Below are 13,585 nucleotides of genomic sequence, written 5' to 3' on the forward strand. Positions count from 1 at the left end.
TTTCTCTGCCAAGGGCTCTTAAATATGCTGTGAATATATTCTCCTGAGGAATTCACCAAGTACATTGGGTCTTCAAGCAGTAGACTACACAGACACCTGCACACAGAAGACTCACACTCTGCCCTGCATGGTCTCACGCACAGATGTACATTTTCTTCCATTCTCTCTTGAGCTTTCTCTCTCACAACACACCTGTTGCTGCCTCTCAACAAAGGCAGGCTTGTGCTGTGAAAGTACCAATTCAGAAGGAAAACATAAACCAGATGGAGAGAACGGCAGAAGGGAAGTTCTTAAGCAAGTAAATAATATAACATGTCTCATGAATTTTTCCATTTTCCCTTGGGGTAAAGATGAAGTAAAGGGATGCAGTGCCAACCTGTCCCAGTGTTCTTGCCAATTGCAGTTCATTTCCAATTTTAACAGAGGAAAGTGGACCCCTAGGATTGTCCAGTCAGTGGCAGAGGAAGGCAGTGCCTGGAAATGTCAGTTGCTAGAGGAACTGAATATGATGCAGCATATTTCAAAATATTGAGGGAAATTGTGATGTTCCTTTGCTGACAATCAAGAGAAGATGTAAATTTGGTACCAGTTCATATAATATTACAATTATAATCCTAGCAAAACTATATGTATCTGTAATGTACAACTTGGCAGTAAATATATATATATACACATATATATATATACACGTGTATATATATATATACACGTGTATATTTTAAACTATCTCACTGAATGGAAAACACCATAGCTAGTTTGGGTTTGGTTTGTTTACCTCTTTCAAACCTCATGTTGAAATTTGATCCCCATTGTTAGAGGTGGGGCCTAATGGAAGGTGTTTGGCTCCTAAGGACAAATCATTTATGAATGGCTTGGGGTCCTTGAGGTGGTGAGCGAGTTCTTGCTCTGTTAGTTCCCATGAGATGGCTGTTAAAAAGAGCCTGGTACCTCTCCTCCCCACACCACTCCAGCCCACCTGGCTTCCTGCAGCCTTCTCTGTCTCCATGTGATTTCTGCACATGCCAACTCTCCTTTGCCTTCAGCCTTGAGCAGAAGCAGACTGAGACCCTCACCAGAAGCCAAGCACATGCTGGTACCATTCTTCTTGCATAACCTGCAGAACTGTGAGCCAAGTAAACCTCTTTTATTTATAAACTACCCAGCTTCAAGTATTCCTTTATAGCAGCAGTCCCTAACCTTTTTGGCACCAGAGACTGGTTTCATGGAAAACAATTTTTCTACAGATGGGGTAGGTGAGGGCCTAGGAATGGTTTCAGGATGATTCAAGTACATTATATTTATTGTGCACTTTATTTCTATTATTACTACATTATAAAATATAATGAAATAATTTTACAACTCACCATAATGTAGAACAAGTGGAGAGCTTGTTTTTCTGCAACTAGACTGTCCCATCCGGGGGTGATAAAAGACAGTGACAGATCATTAGGCTTTAGATCCTCATAAAGAGCACGCAACCTAGATCCCTCGCATGTGCAGTTCACAATAGGGTTCACGCTCCTAGGAGAATCTAATGCCACTCCTGATCTCACAGGAGGCGGAGCTCAGGCAGTAATGCGAGCAATGGGGAGCAGCTGTAAATACACCTGAAGCTTTGCTCGCTGGCCCACCAGTCACCTCCTGCTGTGTGACCCTGTTCCTAACAGACCATGGACTGACTGGTCAGTTGTGGCCTTTTTGGAACTGGGCCATACAGCAGGAGGTGAGTGGCAGGAATTGGGGACCTCTGCTTTATCGCAACCCAAACAAAGACAACCATGATGACATCTTGAGTTTTCCAGTTATTCTTAATAGAAATGTTCTGAAAATCCAAGTGCTTACTGTGAGATGCTCAATTCAAAACTGAATCATTACAGGGTTTTACTTTTGTTTTCTTTTGTCTTTCCTTTTCATAGAGGAGAGGAAAAATCTGAGCAAGGTAAATAAATGTAGATACAATGGCCAATGAAGAGTGAGAGCCATAGAGTTGCGGGAGATGAATTTTTAATGATCATTTCCCATATTTTACAAATAAAGACACGAGAGGCCCAGAAACACTGCCCACAAAGGCTCCAGGTCCACAGCTGGCAGGAAGGAGCCCCCTATGTTTTCTGACCCCATGTCCAGCATACACACCACTACATTACCCTGCCCAGAGGGAAAATATTAGAGAGAGTTAAAAGGAAGCCTGGACCTTTTCCTACAGGAGTGATCCACCTTAAGATAACATTCAAAACAATGGTTACACTGACATCACCTTCAACATTGTTCCTGTTGCCTGGGATTCATGGAGTTGTGACTATTTTGGAGCAAATTTGGAGAAATGTTAATTCACTCTCTCTAGTGTCCTGAAATGGATTGGATGGTGCAGTATGTTGTATTGCATGGCTCCTAACCCAATTCCAGGGAGTTTCTTGGGCAGCAAGAGGGCTGAAAGCCAACATTTAATATTTCTGTATCAAATTACATTTGCAGGGTTCATGAACATCTCATTTTCTAATTCCATTTCTCACAAAACAAGCCAACATCTGCCTTTTGTTATTTCTATCCCTCATTGTTTTTGAAATATTTGTAGTACATTTTGAGTAAAACTCCCTTGACAAAAACGCCTGGCAGGCTCGGGCACCGTCATACCCTTGGTGAAAAGCTCATATCTCCCAGCTTCTCGTCATTTCCAATACACCCATGGGTTTATAAGCACCCATAGGGCAGGATGCTTCCTGAGGCTACATACGGACTTTGACCAAAAGGTGGGACCAAAGATCTCTGGGAATTAAGAAAAAGAAAGAGTAAACCAGGCAATCTGTGGAAGGAGGTGATCTTACAGGATTAGGTGGGGACAAAGGTGAGAATCTTATTCCCTTTCCTTTTCACACTTTGCCAACTTCTTCCTCTCTGTCTTCTATTTTTTATAAAGAGACTGTGAGAAGAGACAAAAGAAGTGCTATTAAGGTGTTTGGGGTTAGGGCCAAAATTAACAAGTAAAATGAAAGTCCTTCAAAGATGATCTAGAATAAATTCCCCTGTATCCCACTGCTTTAAGGAGGGCAGAAGGAGAGAAGGGAGAATTTGTTCTGTGTCAGTCAAATGGAAATGGAAGGAAACCCAGCAGATGAAGAAGAGGGCTTCAAGCCACAATTCTTCACCAAGAGTTTGGTGAATCTTCCTATTATTTAGCACAGTGGCCCCTTTATGAAGGAGATACTTTAGGTCAAATTTTTAATCTATCTTTTCAAAATCTCAAATCAATCCACATTCCTTTGAAACAAGTGAGTCACAATTGCTGGCTGGGTCATAGGGTAACTGTGGCCTTGAGGCACAGTTGACACAAGCAAAGGCACCCCCCCACACACACACAAAGAGTTGCATAATGTTCCCTCTTAAGGTCTCATTGCTGCTTCATAAATCCAAGCTAATTCATGTTGCATGGGGTAGAGCATATAATAGAAAATAAGGAAGCACATTTGGAGTCCAAATATTAGAATTAAAATTCTGCCCCTGTTGATTTCTAATCAGATAGACTGTAAGTGGCCTGAACATTTCAAGCCTCAGTTTCCTTATTCACAAATGAGAGGAACTTTATGAGATTTAGTTGAAAATCAAATAGTGACAAATGAAAGCACAACAGGATGCTTAATAGCTGTGAAGGGCAGTGCACATGAAAGGGTCATCATCAACGCCCAGCTTGTGGCTGACCACTCCTCAGGGGCCAGCTCTTTCCCATGAAAAACCAAGGAGTCCTTGTACTGATTTTTTAAAATTTATGAAACATGAGCTCATTGGGAAATCTTGAACAAACAGAAGCTTTCCCACTCTTTTAATTCAAAACATTTCTAAAATATTCATTTGGCCCATTTTCTGGCCTTATTAAGTTAAACATAAGGGACAGAACAGAGTATTGATTTCAGCACTTTCAGGAGTTCCAGGCTTGCTGATCAACACCAGAGACAGGAACAGGGAAGAGGAGGTTGCACTGGGAAGGAGGCAGAGAAGACACTCGGGTCCAGGGAGACCAAGACACATCCTGTAGACTCATCATGTGTCTGTGCACACCCAGTTAGGACGGCGCTGAGTGCCCAATCCCTTCAAGCCTGCTCCTCTCCTAGTTCTCTCTGATTCAGTCAATGGCAGTTCCCTCTTCCGATAGCTCCAGTGAAGGCCTCGGGAGCCCTCCTGGGCTCTTCTGTCACACCCTTCACGTTTGCTTCATCAGCACAGTCTTGGGCTTTACGTTGATGTCAAACTGAGAATCCCACTACTCCTCTCCACTTCACTGCCCCACTCCATCCAAGCTGCCATCCTTTCTCCATGGATTGGTTCAATAGCCTCAAAATGGATCTCCTTACTCTGCCCCCAACCTTCCCATTCCTCTTGAGTTTATTCTCAACAGGGTACCGAGAGCGATCCTGCTGAAGTGTGTATCAGATCAAGTCAGTCCTCTGTTCAAACTCTCCAAGAGCTTCCCCACTTTAGAAGCAAAAATCCTTACGATGATCTGCAAGATTCTCCACACTGCGGCCCCTTGTTTTTTCTGTGCCTCGCCTTAATCCCCTCCCCTACCCCTGGCCTCTCTTAACTCTTTTCTGGCCTCTTCACTGTTCCTTAAACGTACAAGGTAACCTGTTGCCTCGGGGCCTTTGCAGTTGCTGTTCTCTTTCTTGGAATGTTCTTCCCCCAGACACCTGCAAGGCTGGCTCCCTCATCATCTCCTTTCGGTCTGGATTCAAATGTTACTTTCTCAGTGAAGCCTTTCTTGACCACATGGCCTAAAATAGTAACCTGCTCTCCACTCTCGCTCTTCCACATATTCTTTCTATAACTGTTTTCTGCTTCATTTGTTATTAGCATTTAGGATTATCTGATATGCTATATATTTGACTTATTGTTTTATTTTTCTTCCCTATAAAAATATAAGCTCTATGAGAGTAGGAAGCTTACATTTTGTCCAGGACAGTGCCTAACACAAAGTAAGTACTTAATAAACAATTTTTAACAGATGAATGATTGAAATGACTAAACAAAAATAAAAACCCTGACCACAGTTTTTCTTTTTTCTTTTTTTGGAGACAGTATCTCACTCTGTTACCTAAGCTAGAGTGCAATCATAGCTCATTGCAGCCTTGATTCCTGAGGCTCCTGTGATTCCTGCCCCCACCTCAGCCTCCAAAGTTGCTGGGGCTACAGGCATGCACCACCACACCTGGCTAACTTTTATGTAGAGATGTAGTCTCACTGTGTTACCCATACTGATTTCAAATCCTGGCCTCAAGCAATCCTCCAGCCTCGACCTCCCAAACTGCTGGGATTACAGGCATGAGCCACCACGGGCCCTTGACTACAGTAGTTTAAACAGAGAATAGAAATTTAACACAACTAGAAGTTTCAGATTAGGCAGTCTAGGGCTCTACAACGATGCCATCAGAGGCCCAGTTTTTTTTTTTTTGTTTCAGTTTTTTCATTTCATCATACTTAAGTAAGTTTTTGCCTCATGACTGCAAAATGGCTGCTGCCCCACCAGACAACACATGATCTTTCCAAAGCAGAGGGAAGAAATGGAATGCAAAATAGGAAATGGCAGCATTTGTATTAGGAAAGCAAAAGCTTTCCCAGAAACTCTCAACTTATATCTCATTAATCAGAACCTTTTGGCATGGCTACCCCTTGCTATAACACTAAACAAAAACTGAATTTTGTTAGTGAGGAATGGACACAGGGCAGGTGGTTCCCAGTATGTGTCATAGAGCATAAGTCTCTGTCACCCTTCAACTTCAGCTCATGCTTCTCTGCTTGGGATAAGGAGGAGCTTATGAGACCCCAAGTCAAGGGAATGAGTTTGGGGAAGCCTTAGATGTAACCGTTGCTGGAGAGAAAACCTGAGTCCTGCTCTGGCAGAAGAGCTGTGGAATCGGACACCTACAACACTTTGGCAGCCATGTTCCCAGTGTAGGAATGAAGGTGACCCAGAGGATCATGAAAATGTCCAGAAAAGGCTCACGTTGTCCTAAGAGACAGTCCCAGCAGCCTTCACTTCTTTGCTTCCAGGTGTTTTGGAGGTCCCACTGCAAATTATTCTAGCTGTGGTGACAATGATGCTTTTATTGCATGCCTTGACATACAGGAGAGACACCTGAGTTTAGACTTGGCTCACTGTACCCTCTGAACCAGTGGTTCTCAACAAGGCAAGATCAGCTTGGAGATTTGACAGCTTCCACCTGCCCCCAACTACAATAACACATAGAGAGCATAGAGCGTCTCCGTGCAAACCCACTCCCTTTTGCCTCAAGGGAAGAATATTTTCAACATCTCCCCAAGCAATTCTGATACTCAGAGAGGAGTATCTCCTCTGGAGAGGAGGCCCCTCTGTTCTCAACCCAGAAGTTTCAGTGTCAAGGAGCAAGGTGACAGGGGGTGGCCCTGTTACATTTTTTTCTTTTTTATTGATACATAATATTTTTACATATTTTGGGGCTACATGTGATATTTTGTTATATGCATAGAGTATGTAATTATCAAGTCAGGACATTTAGGATATCCATCACCTCGAGCATTTATCATTTCAATGTGTTGAGAACATTTTAAGTCCTCACTTCTAGTTATTTTGAAATATATATTACTGTTATCTATAGTCACCCTTCTATACTATCAAACATGAGAACTTACTGTTTCTATTTAACTGTACATAGTACCCACTAACCAATATCTCATCACCTGCCTGCCACCCTCCCACCGCCCTACTCCATCCTTCCAAGCCTCTAGTAACTATCAGTGTCAGGAACAAGGACTTGGCCCACTTATGGTGTGACTGTAGACCTGCACCTCCCAGCCACCATCCTGTCCCAAGACAAAGGCGAACACGTTTGCAAGCTGCAGAGGCCACCCAGGAATGGGCTGTGTGCAGACTCAGAGCTTTGCTAGCCCAAAACATTAATGCTTGCCACAGAGCCCTGGGTGGGAAAGCAGTCACTGGACTTCTTTATTCAGTTCCTTTTTCTTTGCTGAAAGGCCGGAATCCAAGACTTAGAGACAAAGTCTGTTCCCTTTGGGACTCTTGTATGAGGGGCCTACAGCCCTTCTTCAGAGAGGAGGAGATCTGTGCCCTGTGTTTGCTATAATTATAATGACAGGAAGCCAAGAACTTCGGCCTCCTCCCCCAGTGTTCCCACTATGCTGAGGATGGAGGAAGGGACCCCAGTTTATTCACCTCTTCAGAGACCACTTCTCAGGCTGCCCTGGGAGACATCCTTGTCTTTGCAACTCCAAGCCAGTTATGGGCAACAGAAGCCCAGCTTGTGTGTTGGTTTGTGGGGAAAAGGAAAGGTGGGGACCTACATGCTGTGATTGTAACATCTAGAAGCCTTGAGAAAGGTCTCAAAACCTGTCATAAAAGGGTTGGTGGAAAGGCCTGAGAGTTTGACATGAGAGAAGATTGAGGGCATCTAATAAGGGACTCCAAATATTTGAAAGAAAAATTAGGCATATTCTTCAAAGTATCAGCAGGAAAAGCAAAGAAGTTGTTACAAGAAGTTGCACAGGTGTTTTCTTTCTTTTCTTTTAATCAGCAAGAGCTGTAAGACAATGGGACAGATTTCCCCTGAAGGTAGTGAGTTTCCTGACTCTGGATGTGTCCGAGCAGAGCCTTATCTAGCAGGCATGTTGCTGAGTGGACTCTCATTTGGTGGAGGCAAAGGCTGGATGTCCTCTTCCAGCCTTGAGATTCCTTAAAGGTGTGATATCCCCTTTGCCCACCTGCATGTGACCCAGGGCTCAGTGTCTATCACTGCAGATGGCAGATCTCTTCCTCTTTCACACATTGCCCTTTGAGGGAACAAACATTAACAATTCTCACCACAGTGTGAATGCTTCAAAATTTTTTCTTCTGTGACAGTGGCAGTGACTCAGGGGAACTTGGCTGAGCTTCAGCTCACTCCTATCTCAGTCAACTCTTACAGATTAGTTGATAGTCTCAGTAAAGCCAGTATAGTTACTTGCTCAGCAGGCTGGTTTCAGGACAAGTTCTCTAGCTCTTACAAAACAGATTTCTGATATCTCCGATGGAATGTTGATTCAGCAGGTCTGGGGTAGAGTTGTAAAAGTGCTCCCAAGTGATTCTCATAGTCATGTTTGAGAACACTTTCCTAAGCTTTTCCTCAACCAAATCCCTAAAGATCCACTGGGAAGAATTATTTTGGCCTTATTTTATCAAGCTCGAATCAACAGGCACTATGCCCCATAAGGATGGCTAAATTTTTTCAATTCTTTCTACACAATGTTCACCTGGGATTTGAAACTAATGTACATGTTTCACTGGATGGTCATTGTTTGTTTGTACATCCTCCTTCCCTCCTGTCCCAGCCCCTACAATGCTCTAGCTCTGCCAGGGCCAGAGCTATGTCTTTCTTCTCGGCATTTCCTGCATCCAGCACAAAACTAGGCATAAACCAAGTGTTCAATATTTGAGGAAAGCAGAAGCGAAGATGGGAAGGCAGGATATGCTTGTCCAAAGGATCATGTCAGTTTCAACAAAGATTGCTTGAGTCCTGTGCAAAAAATGCAAGGGACAGAGCGGGTTGGGAGTGGTTCTGTACTTGTGCATGTGAAATGGGGACTGAGTGTTACTAATTTGTTTCTATGTCTCTCCAAAATCGTAAGGCCTCCCAGTGCTAAGAGTGCAATTCACCACTCTTGACTGTCCTCAACCTCTTCAGCATGTATTTGAGTGTTTATACCGCTCCTCATAAAGATAGCTGCTGCTATCCTGACTGCAGATTTTTCTAAAGTCATTCACTTGCACTTTTATTTTAGTAAAAACCATGAGTACCTTGAGATGAATACATTATGGAGACAACTGTCATCACGACCACATGTGGTATTATTTACTCATGTCAGTTTGAATGATTAATGTGGAAAAATGGCTGGGCAGCTAATATGATTGAGGGCTGGATAGGACAATGTCTGTGTGATTTCAAACAATGCCCATACTGTGCGTGGCGAGTCGCAGAAACATGAATAGCTGGCACTACTCCCTCCTCTCTCTGCCGACTCCCTTTCTTGGCTGGATTCTCCCTCAAACTCCCCACCCCCAGAGACTCCAATTTTCCATCTACAGCCAAGGAGGAGAAAGCAGGGACCCTTTAAACTTTAGCAGCCTGGGGGTTATGTGTGGTGTCAGCCATCTGGCTGATGTCATTGGTGACTCCTCAGCCAGCCAGAGGGCAGAGGAGACTCACGAGGCCTTGAAAGAGAATCCAGGATTGTTGGCTGGTCTTTGCTTCCTTTAATGAGTGGCTACATAGACAATGTCATAAACCAAATGACGGTTTATTCTTCAGAGAAGCATCGTTGCAGTGGAAGAGTTTGGATGAGAACAAGGCGCTACAAATCAATCAGGGATTTGTTCTGTAGGCCTGTCAGGTCTATAAATAGCTAGACTCCTGCTTACCAAGTAGTGGATGGATGTACATCTCCAGGTAATAAGAATTTTCTGTGTTCTTTTTCTTGTGGCAAGCCTGAGAGACCACAGGATGAAAGCTTTTCTCAGCCTCCATTGTCACTGCTACCCCTGCGATTGTTAGTTGCCTCCCTTTGACTGAGATGTTGGGGTGGAGAGCTTGCTAGATCCATGCTAAATGCCTTGAATGTGTTGCCTCATTTAAACATCAAAGTTGATGAAAAAACTGAGGTTCAGGGGGTTGAAATAACCAGTTTGAGGTCACACTGTGGTGAGTGACCCAGTGGAACTGGAATCCAGGGCTGTCTGGCCCTAGAACCTGAGCTGGTCACACATCCGCCTTGTGTGTCATCAGCTTTAATCCCTTTCTTTTGGCTTTGTGGTGTGTGTGGGAGGAAGGGCTCACTGTTAAGAGAGGAAAGTAGAGGGAGTGACAGAGGACACCCCCCTTCAGGCTGCCTACTACAGAGTGACCCCCAGGCCCGGGGGTGGGAGGGATGGTGGGCAGGCAGGCTAACAAACGAAAGAGACAGTGAAAGAGACTGTGGCTTTTTCCTTCTGGGTTACAAATCATGGTGCCAATCTCAGCAATTTTGGTTGGGGAGGGTTCTTTTCCGTGACGTCACTTCAGCTTCGAGGCACAAGTTGGCTAGTGCATAAGATACAATGAGAGATTCAGCCAACATGGAAAACTGTGAATGTCTCCTAGAAGTGTTACTGCTTTGATCCTTGTGAAGAAGTTCCCTCACCTTTTAAGAGGGTCCTCATGCCAATGTGGGGCACTTGGGGCTCACATTTGGCCATGGCTATGCTGCCCTTGGGGTCCTTAGTCCTTGGTTCAGATGGCTGTCAGGCTTTTCCCGACTCCTATGGAATAACCCTGTGCACAACACTTGAGGACATGATGACAAGTTTTCTGCAGAGTGCTGACACCACCAGCCCCTTGTGTGTGGTCTGCGATATGGTGTCAGACAAGACCTGAAATCAGATTGAGCAGCTTGTTTTCTTACAACATGGAAAAGCTGTCTTTCACACCAGTAGACACCAAGAAACAAAAAGCAAGACTATGATCCTGTCTGAGAAATTTGTAAAAATGTTCAAGCAGGGGTGTTAAAGAAAACCAGAATGGAGTGACAATGTGGGATCTAAACATTTGACCTGTGACACTAACTTTTATTTTTTTCATTCCTATTATTTTGGAGTTGCTCATTTTTGAAATTCCTGTCTCCTTCCTGTTCTGATTTTTGATCCAGCATTAGTCATTTTGACCCATAATAATCTCACACCACATTGCATCAGTATTTTCCTATCTTTATTCTACTTTGGGGATGGGGCAGGAATCCATGTATACCTTATAAAAGAAAAATGATTTTGTAATTATTTCTTTTCACTAAAATGTTCTGGCTAGAACTACCTGATTTGACCTCCATTCTTTTTGATGTCACCTGACTTGAAGACAGCCCCAGGGACAGGCACCAGATAGTAAGGGATGGAGGCATAAATGGCCACTGGAACTCCACAGTACCAGTCAGAGCATCAATTGAGCCAGCATCCCAGGCTCTTTACTCTCGATAAAATTTTAGACGAAATGTTAACTAGTAATGTGACCACATCTATGAATGCCAGTGATCTATTTGGATTGGATAGTAGGACTTGTTTCAAACTGTGCTACAGCATCTTCTACCCATGATTTGAATGTGGTGTTTTTCAAAAAATGTCATTGCAGGAGACATTTAGAGTGCTAATAAAAATGCAGATTCCTGGTCCCTACTCTAAACCTACTCAATATGACCCTCTGCAGATGGGCCCAGGGATATGTATTTTTTTAAAAGCCCTGAAAGTGATTCTTGGGCATACTGAAGTAAAAAACTACTGGTTTAGACTTAAGGTGACTTAAGCAACACTTTTGTAGTTCTGCATAGTCAACATTAGTGATTAGGAAAGGTTCAGATGTCCTGAGAACTGGCATTCATCTACTCATTCATTTTGCAAATCTTTATTGAATACTTTCTGATATTCAGTCTTGAAAGGAGAAGACAAGTGTGTGTCTAGGATAGTGGTTCTCAAACTTGTGTATACGTCAGCATCGTGGGGAGCTTTATAAGAATAAATAGTCTCTCTCTAAAACAAACAAATACAACTCCCTCTCTCTCTCTCTCTCTCTCTCTCTCTCTCTCTCTCACACACACACACACACACACACACACACACACACACACACAGTGCCTTTGCAGGTCTGGGATGAGACCACTACATATTTGAGATGGTGATTCTGATATGCAGTCAGCATTAAGGAAACATTTTATTAGAGAAACTCTCTGTGCACCAAAATACCAAGTGAACAGACTTTTTTAGAGAAAGACTTTCCTATAATTGTGGGAAAAGCATGTGGCACATGACTTCATCTTGAGCAAAATCAATTATAGCTTCCTTGCAGATAATATTGGTCTTACACAAAACTAAGTAGCGAGGGTGTTAGAGAGAAGGTGGGTGAATCATTTCAAGAGGGGCCACCATGAGCCCCAAAGGGCCTATTGAGGCATGTTTGAAAGACAATGGGAATATCTATTTAGTTAGATGGAAGAGATACAAATTGTCATGTTTTGGTTGGTGTAAAAATACTACCATCCTCGTGATTTAATAATATTCATTGTACTTCTGCCACTATATGTAGTACTATCTGTGTTCACAAAATGGAAATAATTGCAACAGATATAATGGTAGCAAATTTTAATCAAACTTCCAAATAGAATTATTGGTTCAGTGAAATATAAGTTTCAAGCTTTTTTTCTAGAAACTTTGGAACACACGGGGAAAAATCACCCAGTCTTACCATTCAGAAATGATTATAATTAGCATTTTCATAGATAACCATTTTTTCTCAATTGATGTTATACTGTGATCATTTTCATTTTATTAAACATGATGCCTGAAAATTACTTTCAAATGATTCAGCAGAGAAAGATAGAAAGAATGAGATAAAGCAGATTTGTAAGATTTTAACAATTAATAAGACTAGGTGAAAAGGGTACATTATATTATTTCAGCTTCTTGGTAGGTTTGAAATTTTCAAAATAAAAAGTTTTTTTAAAAATTTGAAATTTTCAAAAAAATAGGAGAAATCTATTCAGTGCAAGAAGTAGACAAGCAACAGGGTGGATTACTCTAAACATCATGTGGTTAAAGTCTGGAACTAAAGATAGTTTTTAAATACTTAGAAAACTAGCAAATCAAAAAATTATAATCTATTATGATTTAGTGGGGAAATTTAGCTGTAGGGATTATGATTCTACATTTTTTATCAGTATTCATGCAATAGCCCCAGTGGGCCTTCTTATTTTTATCTGTCATCTTACTGACATTGTCAATGAACTGAGAGTCATGGTTTCAAATGTACACCATTAAATAATGGTGCCTGGCTGTGATCAAAACAACAAAGGCCAAAAGACTTTTAAATAAAAGAGTCATCTGGTTGCAAACTAAATAAAGCCAGTGGGGAGCATGCAGACACACACTCTCTCTCTCTCTCCAGAAACATGATTTTTCCCCCAATGGGCACACTTTAATTCTTCTGTGGAATAATATAAAATGTAAATAGATAGCCCATATTATAATTTATTATCCCACTATTAGTCAAGTTGATTGAGTCCAATTTTTAGTTTTATAAATAATACCATGATTTTTTTTCTAATTTCAACATTCCTTAGGACAGACATCTAGAAATGAATACTACATGTGGTATTGAAAGTTGGCTTAGCTCTGCTTTTCCCACTGTCAATGACAAAGAGAAAGGGTGAGTCTATGTCACTAGAAAAGCATGAATGCATCTTTTGGCCAGACTCTGACCCCACACCATGGGGGTAGTTAGTTTGGGTTGAAGTAAGCTGCTATAACAAAGAGACCCTAGGGTATAGTGGCTTAAATAAGTTGGAAACTTTTTTCTTTCTCACTTTACCACTCAGGTGTGAATGGTTCAGAGCTGATGGGGAGGCACTACTGACATCCTCAACAAATGGCTTCCATTTCTGTATCCAAAGTGACAATGCTTGTTCTTGCTGTTTTACAGACACTGGGAAGGGATAAATGATCTGGAGAATGTATGCCCAATTGTTTGAAGGGCAAGACCCACAAGTGGAG

The sequence above is a fragment of the Homo sapiens genome, chromosome 13, assembly GCF_000001405.40.
Source record: "Homo sapiens chromosome 13, GRCh38.p14 Primary Assembly".
Taxonomy (NCBI): Eukaryota; Metazoa; Chordata; class Mammalia; order Primates; family Hominidae; genus Homo; species Homo sapiens.